The sequence below is a fragment of the Homo sapiens genome, chromosome 22 (assembly GCF_000001405.40).
Source record: "Homo sapiens chromosome 22, GRCh38.p14 Primary Assembly".
Taxonomy (NCBI): Eukaryota; Metazoa; Chordata; class Mammalia; order Primates; family Hominidae; genus Homo; species Homo sapiens.
This window is the reverse complement of record NC_000022.11, coordinates 43,468,668-43,486,046: the sequence shown is the minus strand read 5'-3', so window position 1 is coordinate 43,486,046 and position 17,379 is coordinate 43,468,668. Positions and strand designations below refer to the sequence as shown.

The 17,379-nt window shown below is 53.3% G+C and overlaps 1 protein-coding gene across 2 annotated transcripts in view; it reads right to left on the bottom strand.

Annotated features, from left to right (window-relative positions):
• The window catches only part of MPPED1 (metallophosphoesterase domain containing 1), a 95,835-nt gene that overhangs the window by 21,802 nt on the left and 56,654 nt on the right, over positions 1-17,379 (bottom strand). For both annotated transcript variants that reach the window (NM_001044370.2, NM_001362786.2), the window contains exon 4: positions 11,086-11,311. In NM_001044370.2, coding sequence (NP_001037835.1) covers positions 11,086-11,311 — 226 coding nt within the window. The remainder of the gene's footprint in view (positions 1-11,085; positions 11,312-17,379) is intronic.

Here is a 17,379-nt window from a genome sequence, read left to right as displayed (position 1 = left end):
TTGCCCTGACCCCTCCCTCTGCATCTCCTAGCCCGGTGGGCCCAGGCAAAGGCTGGGGGAGATGGACAGCAGGGGTCCAGCTCCACTGCCCTTGGGGCCCGATGGCTGCCCGAGAGGGGACAGGGCAGTGCGGAGCTGGCAACGCGTCCCCAAAGCCCGTCAATCACACACCTGGCCGGGGCACACAACTGCGTACGGCAAGTCAGCAGCAAGATAAGTGGAACCGAAGAACAGGGTCCTTTGTCATTCCTAATTAATTTTCCCACCCTTCCCATGCACAGAATCATCCATCTTTTGTTTCGCTGGGACTTTGCGGCAGGAAGGAGGCAGATGATTCATTTCAAACATTAATCTCATGTGGAGTAGTGTGCACACGTGTGTTGAGGGGCCTTCTAGAAAGGAAAACAGCCACGTGAAATCAATTTTATCTGGACAGGTGAACGGAAGATGAAGATAGGAAGGGGGCAGAAGAGAAATCGTGGCGGTGTCTGTGTGTGACTCTGTGTGTGAGTGTGAATGTGTGTGTGTGAATGTGTATGACGTGTGCATCCATGTGTATGTGTGTGACTGTGTGAGTGTGTATGTGTGTACTTGTGACTGTGTATTAGTGTGTGTGAATGTGTGTATGAATATGTGTGAATGTACATATGTGAATATACATGTATGGGTGAATTCATATGTGTATGAATGTGTGTGTGTGAATGTGTGTGTTCATGTGTATGTGTCTATGAATATGTGTGTGGTTGTGGATGTGTGAATGCATGTGTTTGAGCGTGTGGATGTGTGTGTGAATGCATGTGTGTATGAGTGTGTGGAAGTGTATATGAGTATGAATGTGTGTGTAGGTGTATAGGTATGTGTGCGTGTGAATTATGTGTGTATATGTGAATGTCATATGTGAATGTTTCTGTGTGTACATGATATTGTGTGTACATGTGTGAACGTGCATGTGAGTGTGTATGGTATGGGAATGTCTGTGCATGTACATGAATGTGTGTGTATGTGAATATGTGTGTGTGTGAGTGTGTGTCTGTGCGTTTGTAGAAGCAGCACAGCAAGCTACCAGAGACTGAAGAATTTCTTTGCCTCCATCAGAATGTAACTGATGCTGCACGTTGGGCTCAGAATTCTAAGAAGCCAGTACGGGAAGGAGACGGAGGTGGGTGGCTGTGGGATCACTCTGGGTGGACACTGCTGGCTGCCTTGGGCCCCCTCATCCATGGCACGTACCAGCTGGCTCCCAAGCCCCTCAAGCAGCCGTTTCCCTGAGAGGCTCAGGCGGGGCTCACACCTGCCCTAGATGACAGGCTCTACAGCCACCCCTAAGCAGGTGGGGCAATTCCTGACTTGATCTGGGCTCAAGGCAGGGGATGAAAGGGAAACACCATGCAGGTCTCCACAATACCCCAGCCGCATGGCTTTGCGTGTCTCACCCTGTTTCACCATCCAGGGCCCTGTGAGGGGAGAGGGAGAATCCTCTCTACAGATGCAGGACCCAGTGCTCAGGACGAATCCGTCACAGAAGGGGACAGGGATCCAGAAGCCCAAAGCTCAGCAGGGACTGCCAGAGGCTGGGCCCAGGGGAAGCCAGGCAACAGCTGCCAGAACAAGCTGCCCACTGGACGGCCAAGGCCAGGAGCTGCCCAAGTCTACACGCCTGAGCCAGACCCGGGGCTGCCTCTTCCTAGGGCTGAGATCTTGAGCCAGATGCTAGACCTACTCAAGCCTTACCTGACCCATCTGTAAGATGGGAATGGAGATCATCCTGCCTTGCCTGTTGCTAGGCAGACTACATGGGACAATACACGGGGCAGTCGGCCGAATGCGGGTCTCGAGTATGAAGCAGCGGGGAAAGTCTTTGCCTCACCTGCCCAAACAAACTGGGAAAGGCCAGCCTTGTGCTGGAATCATCCAGAAATACAAGGCAACATGCAAGCAGCACTGCACCAGGTGAACGGGGACTGCTGGCCCCTGCAACCAGGCGACATAGTCCTAATGGCCGTGAGGCCGCAAGAAGGGAGGCCTCGGCCACTTAAGAGGGGAGTTGGACTCGCCCTCCATCCTTGGTACACTGGGCCCCAGAGGGCTTCAGGAAAACAGCAGAACAGAAAAGGCCCCCACTGGCCACGGGCAGCAGGAGCTGGATCCCCAGGGCTGTTCTCAGGCCAGCAGACCTGTGTGGTCCAGGATGCCCCAAGCCAAGAAACTCACGTAAAGTGGCCCCTGCTGGGTGTGCCCACAGACTGAGGCAGACACAATGCCTCCCAGGGAGCACCCTCAAACTGGGCTACACCCCCTAAGCCAGCCACACCCCAATCCAGCCTGCCCAGGACTCCCCCAGATTGTACCTTGCTGGCCAAGAGCCTGCCATCTAAAATGACAACACCCCTAACACCTCAGAGGGAATTATTGGAGACTAAAACATAAATGTTTTATAAAAGATTTAAAAGGGTTCTTAAGAGAAAGGGCAAAGGACTCCAGGTCAGAAACTTGGCACTGAGTGCCGGGCCCGCCTGTGTCTCACGCAGAGACAGGAGGAGGCACCGAGGGCGTGGCATGCTGCAGAGAAGCTGGCAGTCCAAACCGACACCTGGGGGGCTTCCTGGGAAGGGTGGCATCACCGGCCGCCTTGAATCCTGGGTGGAGCACGCCATGGGGCAGGGTGGAGACGGGAGAACCAGCCTCATCACTGTCACCCATCTGCAGTGACAGCTGGGGGAGTGGGGGCTGCCTCGGGGCCGGCCAGGCATCCCGCCACCCTGCCCTCCACTCCCAGGACTCGGCCCCGTTCTGGTGGGAGGCAAGGTGGAAGCTATGGGGCCAGGAGATTAACCTGTCTCGTTTTTTCTCTAAAATATATATTTATCAAGTTAGAAAGAAGCATTCTGGCAGCTCACTGTGCACACCAGGTGGGGCCTCCATCCTCCCTGCCATGCAGGCCCAGCTTGTTCAGTTCCCACAGGACCTCACACAAGACACTTCCCTGCTGGGGTCTCAGACCTCTCAGCCATAAAATGTGGACAAGAGTCTAGGCCTCCCTGACTGTTTCAGAGGACAGGGCCTCTGGGCCAGCATAAGACAGGGACTGTCACTGCAATCACATCAACCCCTGGCCCTGAGCTCTTTCAGGGTACAGATTTCAAGTTCCAGGCTGCTCCGTTCTGGCCCCATCCAACTGGCAGGCCTGCTAAGCGCAAAAAGGGAAGGGAAGGAACGGACGTCAAAGGCCAGTGCCACGACCCACCCCAGCCTCATCCCAGAGCCACCTGGCTGCAGCTCTGTCCCATGGCTGTGGGCGGTAGAGAAACCACCCATATTGCTTCCGTGCCCTAGCCTGGGCGGTCATAAACGTCGAGCAGCAGGTGTATGAATGCCCACCATGTGCCAAGCAGTGTGCACACAGGACCTCCTTCAATCCCAAGGGCAGTTCTGCAAGGGGACTATCCCTCTTGGCATTTCACAGAAAGCCAAGATTCTGACCCAAGGTTAAACAGCTGGGAGCCACGTACCAGGATGTGTATTCCAGAATGGTCTGGAGCAGCCCTGGCTGTTTGAAGAGGGCTGACCCCTGAGGCCACTGGCTCCCACAGAGAGGTGAAGGGCATCCTGGCACCACTGCCTGGCCTTGAGGTCCAGCCCTGCCGGGAGACAGTGAAACCCCTGAGCCGAGAATCAGGATCCGAGCGCAGACGCCCAGCAACGGGCCCGGCAGCCACTTCTCAAAGTTTAATGTCTCAGCAGGTTTGGATCCCTTCTTTCAAAATACCAGAAGTAATTAGACCAGATGGACTCGCTGCGTGCCAATTTCACTCTCTCCCTCACTCTTTTTTTTAAATCAAGGCCGTTTTCAGTTAAATGAGAACAAAAAATGCATCCAAAACCCATAAATGAATACGGTATGTATACGGGATTTTTTTTAACACTTGGGATTTTGTACCAGCTGAGTTCTTCCTCTTCTCCTGCAGTTGGTTCCCGCCCCCTTCCGCTAAGCTGCTCTCAGCGAAGGCCCAACACCGGCTGCACCTGAGGGTCCACAAACGGCCTCCCTGAGCCCTGGAACGTCACGGCGCCCTGGGAGGGGGCAGCACAAACACGCCACCCTAATGAGACTTTCATCCCTTCTTGCCTGAACAGACTGAAAGGCTTGGTAAGTGCAGGGCACAGCGGTGGTTATGGCCCTGCCCCCATTAGTGATGATGCTGTGATGGAACCCTTGCTGGGGAGGGCAGGGCCCAAGATCCAGGGGACACAGGAGGGGGCATCTGGCCTTCAGCTTGAGGGTGAAGGGGATGGTATCAAGGGGGCGACATGGCAAGCCAGCAGGGGGCACAGTTAGGCCTTGCTTTAGAGAGAGCAGCACGGAAGAGGAAGAAGGAAACAGAGGGGAGGGAGCTGGTGACAGGCCTGGGAGGAACCCCAGAAAGGTTCAATCGCAGGAGAATAAACCTGGCCTGGATTTTAACTGAGTCCCCACAGCTTGCCATCCATCCATTTGGTCACTCATCCACTCATTCATTCATCCAACAAATACTTATTATGAGGAACCAGACTCTGTACTGGGCACTGGAGTTAGGTCTATGAGAAAGAGAGATCTGGGTCCCTGCCCCTATGAAGCCTCAGACGCCCTAGTAGGATAAAGAGAAGATAAATCAACTGCCGGAGTAATAAAGACAGGGCGGTCCTACACTGAATGGCCCAATGGAGGAGAGAGAAGCCAGACACAGACCCCACGTGTCAGATAAGGGTGGTAGGAGTAAAGAGGATAGGCTTTCTACACATGGTGCTAGGCCAGGAGGGTGTCCATGTGGAAAAACCCTGAACAAGATCCCTATCTCACACCATCAACACAATCATTTCCAGTGGATCCAACACCTGAACATAAGAGGCAAAACAGCAAAAGTTCTGGAAGACAATATAGAAACAGGGCCAGGCAAGGTGGCTCATGCCTATAATCCCAGCACTCTGGGAGGCCGAGGCAGGTGGATCACTTGAGGTCAGGAGTTTAAGATCAGCCTGGCCAACATGGTGAAACCCTGTCTCTACAAAAATACAAAAATTAGCTGGGCATGATGGCAGCTACCTGTAATCCAAGCTACTCAGGAGGCTGAGGCAGGAGAATCACTTAAACCCAGGAGGCAGAGGTTGCAGTGAGCCGAGATCATGCCATTGCACTCTAACCTAGGCGACAGAGTGAGACTCCATCTCAAAAAAAAAAAAAAAGAAAAGAAAAGAAAAAGAAATAAGTCTTCATTATTTCAGAGAACAGAAGATCTCTGCAATAAGGTACCAAAAGCATTTATCACAAAGAAAAACACGAAGATATTTGACTACACCAAAATTTAAAACTTCCGTTCACCCAAAGGCTCTGCTAAGACAGGGGAAAGAGAGGTCACAGAGGGGGAAAAGCTATTAGTAACATCACAACTGGGAAAAGGCTCATACTCATAATCAGAATACATGAAGAATCTCCATGAACCAGTAAGAAAAAGACAAACAATCCAATTATTGTTTTTAATGGACAAAAGACTTGAGCACTTCCCAAAAGAGGAAATCTAAGTGGCCAATCAACATGGGAAGAGATTCTCGGCCTCACTGGTCATTAGGGGAATGCAAATGAAAACCACCCAGAGACACTGCACCAGCACACACCCGTGAGAATCAACCCACTGCAAGGACTGAATGAGAACATGCGAGCAAGCACTGAGCAGGGGGTCTGGCTTGTGCAAAGGCTGGGTAAGCAGAGGATGCCAACAGTCACAGGCCCCTGCCCCCAGTAGTTATAGGCCCTTGTCAAACCTGAGCTCCTGGGAGGCAGGCTTGATCCATTTCAGGGTCTCCCGAGCCCTGCACAGAGCCAGGCACGTGACAAACCACAGCGGGCCTCAGAGTGTGTGGCTCAACAAACAAGGAAGTCAAAACCATTACGATCTAACCCACTGAGGACTGCTTGAGCCCAGGAGTTTGAAATCAGTCTGGGCAACAACATGAGACCCCATCTCTACAAATAATTTTAAAAATCAGCCGGGCGTGGTGGTACATACCTGTGGTCCCAGATACTTGGGAGGCTGAGGTGGGGGGATCACTTGAGCCCAGGCAGTCGAGGCCGCAGTGAGCTGTGACTGTACCACTGTACTCCAGCTAGGGTGACAGAGCAAGACCCCATCTCCAGGGAAAAAGAAAATCTGACCTACCATTCTCCCAAGCAGAGTATCTCTTAGTGGTAACAGAAGAAAAGCCAGTTGCTATAACCATATGTTTGCTTTTTGCTTCCCCTTTCTAGCTTGCTATGTAAAGCCCTCAATATCAAGGCTAGCCTCCAAGTCTAGCAGAGAGAGGACCTCCTGGGAATGGGTCCATGCATCCCTCTGCTTAAGGGGGAATTTCCAGCCACAGGCAGAGGAACTGTGGCCCTGTAAAGGGGAAGGGGCTGGAAGGGCACTAGGCCCACCCACAGCAGACCCCCTGCTTGCATGCCCCTCGTGATGGGCAGCTCACTGCTTGGTAAGGCCACATCACCTCTCCCCTGGGCGCCTGCCTATGGGGGAGTCTTCCCTCACTGGTGAGACTGCCTCCTGTCACTTCCCTCTGTCCTCTGCTCTGCCGTCTACCTCCTAAGGCCACATGGTGAACACGTCTGCCCCTCAGCCTGGTCGGCCCTGCCCACATGTCCAGCTGCAGCAGCTATTAGGTCACTCATTGCTAGTGTTTGTTTCATCCCTGCTCCCTGCCTGCTGGTCTAACTGTGCTTCTAAAGCTGGAGGGAATGCCTCCTGCAGTCCACGTGGTAGCCAATATGTTGAGGGCAGAGGGGAAGAAAAGGAAAATCTGGAACATCTGAACTTCACAATGATCACAAGCAGCTCCATCACCTGCACCCCCCGAATGAGCTGCCATATGCCCGGGTGGCCGGCGCCAGGGGAGTGGAGGGCCCCAGCCAGAACCTCAACAGACAGCTGGGGAGGGGGTGCACAACCCCCCCACACCCCACTCGACACCAGGCAGGATCAGCAGCCAGGCCGGCGGGTTCTTCAGCCGTGAATACAGTTTTAGGGGCTGGTTAATGCCACTTCCAATTGTGGAGCTTCTAGCATCACCTGGGGATACCGGCAGCTGAGGGTCCCTCTCTACCAAGAGACTCTCGTAGGGTAGTGTCGCACGCTCCCTAGATCACGTCATGTCACCTTCCCACTTACTGGGAAGCCCAGGGCTCAGACAGGCTACCTGACACCCTCAAGGGAGAAGGCCGCCCCGCAAAGTCCTGGCTACCAGCAGCACGGTGGGTGGACGGGGGTATGGCCGGGGACCCAGGGACCTGGGTTCTGGCGGCACCAAACACAATCTGGCTGCCCAGTCTCTGCTCTCTTGCTGTCATCCACCCAGGCCCCCGGAAGCCACACTCAGCTCTGTGGTCCCCAAAATGCCCCAGGCCCTCTCAAGTCTCCTGGCCTTTGCCCAGGCTGTTCCCTCTGCCTGCCACACCCTTTCAGCTGCACTTAGCTGCCTGTATCTCTTCAACCTCTGGCTTTCCCCATGGGAAGCCTCCCCTGACCCCAGCACCCAAGGCCCCTCCTTCATGGCTCTTATTGATGATGGAATTGGTTGTTGACTGTCTCCCACGAGAACGTAAACCCCATGAAGGCAGCAGCAGTGTCTGTCTGTCCACACCATGTCCCCAGGGTCTCCCTGGCACTCTGTACATCCTTGATGAATGAATTAACAAGTTTATTCCTGAGGGCATGAGGATATCAGCTCAATCCCCAGGCCTCAATCTCCTCAGGGGGCCAAAAAGGCCCATATGCACCCAAAGGCTGTTCTGAGAACGGAGGCCTGCCACACGGGATACGTTCAAAAAGGCCACTGAATGGCCTCCGCCCTGGAGCAGGAAGAGCTAGGACTGGCAGCCTGAAGGGCCACCCCGCGGGTGCCCTGGACAAGCCACATCCCTGCCTGAACCTCTACCTGCCCTTCTGTAAAATGGGGTAATTGCAGGCCTAGCCCTGCCTTGGGGTTTGTGGAATAAAACTAAATAGTTATCCTCTTCCTCGCTCCCCAAGGAGCACCCCAGTAATAATAAATGACCACAGCCACTCTCCAGGGCCTTCCTTTGAGCCAGGCCTTCACCTGGATGGGCCCAAGCAGACCTCACAACCCCCCAACAAGGCAGGCGGTGTCGTTTCCCCACTACACAGAAAGACCAGAGAGGCTGAGCCACCTGCCCAAAGTCACACAGCTGAAAAGTGGTGGTATCCCAATTTGAACAGCCTCCAGTACCCAAAGGCCCTTGTCTGGGACCTCACTGGCTGCAGGGAGGGTTCACCAAGACCCTGTACATCGTGAAGTCCAGGGAGATGACAGCAGGCACCTGCCGAGGCCAGGGAAGATGAGACAGCCCTGCACCTCCCCATCTTCCCCTCTGCTCCATGAGGAGGCCGTGGCAAGATGAGACCAGGTCCTAAATCTGCCCACAGCCTCCAGCCGCCAGGTGGCCACCATGTGGCACCAACCAGGGCAGCCCAGGGGTTTCCCAGACACTCTCTGCTGGGGCATGGTGGCAGGGACCCAGCCTCCCAGGGGAGGGTAGCGGCCAGAGTGGCTTGGCATCCATTCCGTGGCACCACAGCAGCAGACGCAGGCAATCTGCTCACCCCGGTTGGAAACTGAGTGAAACTTGCCCAACAAATGAGCCCAGGTCTCACCTCCACCACCTGCTCCCAGCCCCAGACAGGGCCTGAGAGGAACAGGAGGAGCACCAGCTCACAGCCTCCCTTGCGGGATGGAGAGAGGGGGCGTTCAGCCCTTGTGTTAAGGGCTGTCAAGTGACAGGCCCAAGAAGAGCCTGGCACAGGGCCTGACACATAACAGAGGTTCAGACATGTGGTCTCCCTCTGCCTCCTCTGCCTGTGGAAATCTCATGCCTCTTTTGGCCCCAGTTCAAATGCCCCCTCCAACAGGGAGCCCTCCTGGATCTCACCAAACCCCTTCTGGAGCAGGGTAGCAGGGCCCCTGAACCCACCTCCTGGGCTCGAGTTCCCTTCTCTGTCCTTCGGCTTCTCCCACTCCCTGGCATGGCACAGGCTGTGTGTGTGCACCTGGCTGGTAGGGGGGTCAAGGGGAAAGCTTGCTGGGTCCTCCTTCTAGACGGCCCTCCTGGTTTTTGGCCTATCAGACTTCTCCAGATCTGAGCTCTAGTGGCCGGTGAGGCAGACTCAGCCACCTCCCCTCCTCTCCTTGTCCTTGGTACTGACCTCATCACATCCTCAAGTGCCCAGAGGTCCTTGTCTGGGACCTCACTGGCTGCAGGGAGGGTTCACCAAGACCCTGTACATCGTGAAGTCCAGGGAGATGACAGCAGGCACCTGCCGAGGCCAGGGAAGATGAGACAGCCCTGCACCTCCCCACCTTCCCCTCTGCTCCATGAGGAGGCTATGGCAAGATGAAACCAGGTCCTAAATCTGCCTGCCGCCTCCAGCCACTAGGTGGTCACCATGAGGCACCAACCAGGGCCACAGGGGTTTCCCAGATGCTCTGTGCTGGCAGTAGCTCTCTCTGAAGTCCTTCCACCCAGGCAAGCCCTTTGTGCCTCTAAAGGGCTCCTTAGCCTCGCTGACTGTGCTGCTTCCTGATAGTGCAGCCTCAGGCCACGTTACTCCTCCCTGCCTGTGAATACCCTTCTCTTCCCTCAAGGCTCAGGTTACCCCACCTCCTCCAGGGAGCCTTCCAGGATCAAGCCACACTTTTAAGCATATGTGATCTTGCCCTTCCATGTATGAAGCCCACCTCACCCTGCCAGCACTGGGCACCCTGTGGCCGCTCATTCTGTCCACCTATAGAATAGGGATAATAAATCAGTCCTCACAGGGCTGAGTAAGGATTAGAGATAAGGTTTATAGAGCCTTTAGCCTAGGGCCCAGATTACTGTAATTGCTCAGAAATTATTTCCTGCCATCACCATCATCATCATCACCACCACCCCCACCATGATCATCACCATCATTATCACCATCACTACCCTCACCATTATGATCACACCACCACCACCACCATCATCATCACCACCATCACTACCACCACCACCGTAATCATCCTCATTACCATCATCACATCATCACCATACCACCATCACCATCTTCACCATCATCACCATCAGCATAACCACCATCATCACCATCATCAGCAGCATCGCCATCATCATCACCATCATTATCACCATCACTACCCTCAATATCATCATCACACCACCACCATCACCATACTATCATCACCCTCACCCTCACCCTCATCATCATCATCACCACCACCACCACCACCACAACCATCATCATCACCATCACCACCATCATCACCACCACCATCATCACCATCACCACATCACCATCACCACATCACCACCACAACCATCATCATGACGATCATCACCACCATCATCACCATCACCACCATCATCACCACCATCACCACCACCACCACCACCACAACCATCATCATCACCACCATCACCATCACATCACCACCACCACCACCACCACAACCATCATCATGATGATCATCACCACCATCATCACCATCACCATCATCACCAATATCATCATTATTACGATCATCATCTCCCCCAGCCCCTGACATATGCATCTTTTTTTGTATGGAGCAGGAAGACAGCATTAGAGAAAGATTCCTAGCATTATAGAATATTCATTAAAGGCAGGGGTTCTGGAACCAAATTGCTTGGGTTTAATCCCAGCTCTGCCCCTTCCTAGCTGTGTGACCTTTGGCAAGGTCCTCACCCACTGTGGGCCTCAGTTTCCTCACCTGTAAAATGGAGATAATAGTACCTGCCTGTAAGTGAGCTAGTACAGCATAGCATAACACAGGTTACAGCTGATAATACTATTTTCAGTGAGATGTGGGAAAACAGGCCCAGAGAGCAGCGGTGACCTGCCTAGGTCACACAGAGGGTAAGGGGTCAAGATTCAGTCCTGAGCCTCGCATCCGGAGCTCCCTGCTGCTACTCCCATCCCCTACACCCCCTGCGCTCAGCCTCAGCTCTGGTCTCACCAGCAGGCAGGACCAGCACCCAGGCCCACTCACCATGGGGAGCCATAGATCCGGAAGCCCCGCACGGTGACCTCCGAGTCCTGAAGGTAGATGCAGTTGGTCAGCAGCGACTGCACATTCTCATAGTTCTCCGGCTTCAGCTTCGACACAGATGGGAAGTAGTAAAAGTCCTGCTTGATGAGGTCGGCCATGAACTCCTGGTCAAAGGTCAGCTCGTGGTTGCCTGCGATCACGATCTTGTACTCGTAGGGCAGGCTGCCTGCAGGGGTGGACACAGACAGACACACAGCACACAGCCGTCAGCTTGTCCAGAAGCCACAGCACGGCTGAGAGAGGGGCGGGCAGGAGGAAGCTGCATGAACTCCTGGTCAAAGGTCAGCTCGTGGTTGCCCGCGATCACGATCTTGTACTCATAGGGCAGGCTGCCTGCAGGGGTGGACACAGACAGACACACAGCACACAGCTGTCAGCTTGTCCAGAAGCCACAGCATGGCTGAGAGAGGGGCGGGCAGGAGGAAGCTGCTGGAATCGCTGACAGGGGTACCTGCTGCCAGGCCCCCAACAGGTGTCTTCATCAGATCAAAGGAGGCAGCAGCCTGATCACTGTCCCCACAGTCCTGCCTGTCCAGGCCTCCACTGGCCATCGGCCCCCTGAGATCATCGGGAAGAGGCTGGACAGGTTCCTCCCAGGCTGCTGAGCTGCAGAGTGCCTGGCCTCATCCTGGGACTTCTCTGCCTCAGTTTCTTCTGTCTGGACTAGTTTTCTACTGGAAGAAGACCCCCACGCTGCATCCCCAGCCCTAGCTGTCACTGGCCTCACGGTCCCAGGCCCCCACCCCCTGGGTATCTTGGACTCTTTATCCTCCACTTTCCAAAAGGAATTGCAAGGTCTTTGCAGAGCCCAGTTCAAATGTTTGGAGACCCCACACTCAGGAAACATTATAGTACCCACCCCTACTGCCATGGAAATTCAAAGCCAAAACAAAATCTAGATGGAATCAAAACAAAAATGTCTATGTATACAGCCACTGAATTACAATAGTGTCATTCCAGCTTTGCTGTGTGCGAACTTTTGGGTAGTTCTTCCAAGGTACACATCTTTCTCTCTCTGGGGTCCAGTTTTCTGGATGCCCTAGGCAGGAGTGTGCACTGTCACCCAAGAGAGACTGGCTGGGGGCTGGTTTCTCGGCAGCTGCCCGGCAGGCCTCACCCACCAGGCTGGCTCTATGCAGGCGCAAGACCACCACAGCTGTTCGGTCTCAGTAAACGCCACTCGCCCCTGCCCCCTACTCCATCTGAGAGCCAGCCTGACCCCAGGCTTGGGCCCCTGACTCCCCACTCCCCACCAGCCTCAGCTGCTGGGCACTCATGGGCCTGGAGAGTCAAGATGGTACCTGTAAGCCCTGATTTGGATAAAAAATGAAATGTTGAAAGTGCACTTGGAGACCCAAGCCTTTCTCCTGGCCCCTCCTGGGCCGAGAGTGACCTGGAGGGTCAGGCAAGTAGCAAAGACGCCAGCACAGCACAGGGGCCTCGGGGTGGATGGGGACCCAGACAGGAAAATGGTGACATTCCATAACCAGTTCACAAAGCAGTAACTGTGGCTAACAAAGACCGACACCTCGCGAGGCATCCCCTCTATCCCTGGAAGACCATGACCTTCATCTGCTAAAGCACACACAGGGCAAGGTGCCAGAACACTTGTCTGGCCATCAGGCTCCAATGAGCCCCTGACACCCCCTTCACTCCTCACCCTCCCGGGGCAATGCCCAGCAGCACGGGCACCGTGGTCTGTCCCCTGGGACAACACAGCAGCCCAGGAACAGCAGAGCCTTTTCCACCATGACCAAAAACTCTACCTCTTCCGCTGTGTGAGCATTCCATGGGGAACCAAATTCCAGAAATGCCTCTGCTCCAAATACTAAGGATTGTTTTTCTTATTGGAAACGGATGCTTGCAATATGGGCTGAGACTCGGAAGATGTGCCATCACACTCAGCTCTCAGGAAGCACTCTAGGAAGAGCTCGCCTCCCCAGCCCTTACGTGAGCTCCAGGGAAGGGTAGAGTGAGGTTTACAGCAGTACATGTCCTATAACTACAGCCATTATTATATCCTAATAGCAAGGAAATAGAAGGGTCCAGTGCCCCGTTATAAGCTTCTTCTCTACCCCCAGCTAGATGAGACCTGTGCCGTCTGTCTAACCACGTGCCCTATGGCCACGGCAAATGGCCAGGTCCCAGCCTGGCCAGGGAGGGTGGGCCAGGGCGGTAAGAAAGGGAACCCCAAGGCGAGACAGAAGTTTTCTTCAGAACAGGCAGAAAATCCCAATCTACTCATAGCTGACTCACCAACCACCTCAGACTGCTTCACAGGTTTGAGAAAGAAAGCACTGCTCTTTCTTCTTCGGGATTTATCAACTCTGGGGCGGGGGACCACTGGTACATGGGGGCCACTGGTACTTAGCAGGCCACAGAATCTCAGCTCCAGCAGCCTGGATCCCAGACCCACTCTGCCACCAACCCGCTGTACGACTTAGCTTCCCTGTGCCTCAGTTTCCTTACCTGTAAAATGAGAAAAGTAACAGCGACCTTGCAGGACTGTTCTGATATTATAGAAGATAATCAATGGAAATGTACAAAATTTTGATGTTCAAAAAAACCAAAGAGCTTCCCTGGGCCAGAGTTTGCAAACTAGAAGCAGGCAGGCCAGACCCATCCACAGACATATTTTGTTTGGCACAACTTTTTTTTAAAACTTGAATTTGTTGCCAACATCAAAAATTTGAGAGATTCCTAATAACATTTCATTACTTCTGTTTTCTAAAAATAAAGAAATAAATACAATTTAACTGGTCCAGTCAGGAAGTGCTGAGTGTCTGTGTCCCCTTGGACAGGATGAATGCGTCCAGCTGGCCCCAATCCCCACCTGTCCCTACCGTCTCACACCCAGTCCACTTCATTCATTTGAAGGTACCGCCCACTCTTAACAGGCATTTGGGTTTCTGTCCCTGGGGACATGAAGGGAACAGCCTGGCCCTGGCCCGAGGTTCTTCCAGTCAGGCTGCTGGGATGAGATTCTACAAGCCCCTTCCACCTCCCTGACCCTCCTCTTGTACATCAGAGCCCACCCTGATGGACGCTGGGAACTCTGCTTGCTGTGCTCATGGGAGAGCTCCAAGAACATGGATGCAGGCGTGTTTGCTTCCCCCAGCTCTGTCCCTAGCAGGCCCCAGCAGGAGTCTGGCGAATGAAGCCTCCCACAGCCCCACAGTGCGACCAGGCATGGTACAGAGAAGCCCTCTCCAGTGAGGCTCAGGCTGCGGAGAGGAGGGAAGAGGGCTGCGTGGGCCTGAGCAGCTGGTAGTGGGTCCGGGAGGACACAGCAGGAAAGATGGCCACTTCTGGACCGCTGGTGGAGAGCTGAGATCTCATTTCCCTAGAGCACCCCCAAGGTACTTGGTTTTATTATCTCCTCTTTGCAGCTGAGCAGAATGAGGCTCAAAGGCTGGGAAACCCACCCAGGCCCCACGGCTGTGGAGGGGGACGCTGGTCCAGCTGACCCCACCCCTCTAGACGGGCACCTCAGACTCCTCCAAGGCCAGCAGACCCCTCATCGAGCCCCTCCCCAAACACACTGCAGCAGGGAGGCAGCCAGAGCCCCCAGCTCGGGTTGGGGGTGGCCACCATCGCTGCCTTCGGGCTCTGATTCACCACATTTCCACTTCACATCACCCATCCATCCTGCAGCCCAAGCTGGGGGTGCAGAGCCAGTGCTCATGTATTTATGTCATGTCTTTGACTGGGGGTGTTACTGAAGCAAATTAGCAAATTACTCCAACTGTACAGTTTCATTTATTTCTGCAGCTCCCGACTACTGGGGATTGGGCGGAGCGCAGAAGCTGTCAGCTCTCCCCTCTTCTTCTCACCTCAGCAGCTGATGACTGAGGCTTTTTCCCTCCCAGAAAAGGGTGGATGGGGCACAAGGCCCAGCTCCCATACATAATGCAAGGGAGCAGGGCAGGAGCCACCACCTGCTGGGGTGACACCCTCAAACACTGTCTGCTCCATGGCTTGGAGGCAAAGGGACATCCACTTATGAACACAGAAACTGTCCAGCACCACATCCCTCTGAGTCCAAAGTCACAAGAATGCCTGTGGGTGTCCACCTGGACTTGGCAATTCACCAGCTGTGCATAACCTTCACAGACACTTAAGTGTTACTATCCCCAGGTAAACCTGGCGAAACTGAGGCCCAGAGAGAGCTTGCCTAAGATGAGACAAATCAATAGCAAAATGACTGACAATTACAGAGGACAATGGACATTTGGTAGACCCTATGGCGGTATCCTGAGGTGTACTCTGCACCATCATGCTACCCCGCCTCTCAGTGGATGGATGGATGCATGGATGGATAAATCGTTTATAGATGGATGGATATATGGATGCACACATGGATAGATGGATGCATGCATGGATGAATGAATGGTTGGTTTACAGATGGATGGATATGTAGATGCACACATGGATGGATGGGTACATGGATGGATGGTTTATAGATGGACGGATGGATGAATGGATGGCTTACAGATAGACAGATGGATGAGTGGATGAATGGGTGCTTTGTAGATGGATAGATATATAGATGCATACATGGATGGATGAATGGATAGATGGCTGGTTTATGGATGAATGGATGGATGAATGGATGGTTTATAGATAGATGAATAGATGGATGAATGGATGCTTTGTAGACGGATGGATATATAGATGCATACATGGATGGATGAATGGATAGATGGATGGTTTATGGATGGATGCTTTATATATGTATGGATATATAGATGTATATATAGATGGATGAATGGATGGATGGATGGATGGATGGATGATTTATGGATGGATGGATGGATGGGTGGCTGGATGGATGATTTATATATGTATGGATATATAGATGCATATATAGATGGATTAATGGATGGATGGATGGTTTATAGATGGGTTGGTGGGTGGGTAGATGGATGGATGGGTGGATGAATGAATGGATGCTTTATATATGTATGAATATATAGATGCATATATAGATGGATGGACGGATAGATGGTTTATAGACAGACGGATACATAGATGCATACATGGGTGGGTGGATAGGTGAACTGACAGATGGGTGGATGGATGCATTTATCAATCAATCCATCCTTAGCTAGGTCTGACTGTCTCCTTTACACCAACTGACCTCTGTGTCGCCCCTTCTCCTCAAATGTTTCCTCCAACTGTCCCTGGCAGGGCATTTTTTTGACTCACCCTCCTTACCCACAATCTTGATTGTCCATCTCTGAATCTTCTCCAATTAAACATGCTCTCTTGCAGGTGGGTATGGAGGACACAGAACGGAAGTCCCAGCATGGCCTGACCATCACGGAGTGGGCAGGAGGAGTCTCCTCCTCTGTTCTAGGGCTGCCACCTCTGTTGTTAGAGCCTAAGGCTGCATTAGTTTTCCAGTGTTCCCATCGCCCTGCAGTTCTTACCAACCCGAACATAGATACGATTCCCAGTGACCAATCATTAGAGGCTCGCTTGCTTAATTTCATCACAACCCTCCATCTAAACAGTGAATGAGGGGAGTGTTTTGGGGACTTCAACCAACTAATTGATTTTCAGGGGCTTTATGGGGGAAAAATTAAATGAATACAAACTCTTCTGCCTAATGCCTGCACTGAACACAGAGGAAATGGATGTTGTTCTCTTTGCCCTTTCCTGCTGCTATTCCTCCCTGCAGCAGGTAAGACGGCTGACACACAGCGGAGCTTCCCCATTGCCCTGATGGGAGCTGCCTGAGAAGCCACAGGAAGTACCTGAACCCCGGGAAAGTAGCTGTTCTCCAAGCAGGTGTGGAAAGAGATTAGGCAGCACCAACCTTGGAGACCAGAACATAACGTGACCCCCTGGACCAAAGATGGGCACAACATGGGGAAGCTAAAGAAAAAGCCTCTCTACAGAGCACCCCCGGGCTGGGCACGGTGGACAGCAGTGCAGGTGCTGGGGGCTGTGCTTGCCTTGGTAAGTCTCAGCAAGGGCACAAATGGGTCCAAATGCCTTTTCTCATCCACCTCCCCTCATCAACCCAACGGAAGCTAAGCATCCACTGAGCCTATCCTGAATGCCCCTTAGGCTGAATGCCCACCTTCTTCCCTGAAGCTGGACCCACTACAAAGCCCCCTGCCCTGGTCAGCTCTCCATGAGCCCTGATTAAACATGAGCCCCCAGTGTTCCCGTGTTCCAGACCCTGGCGAGGCTCCGCTGGGGACACAGTCATGAATCAGACACCAC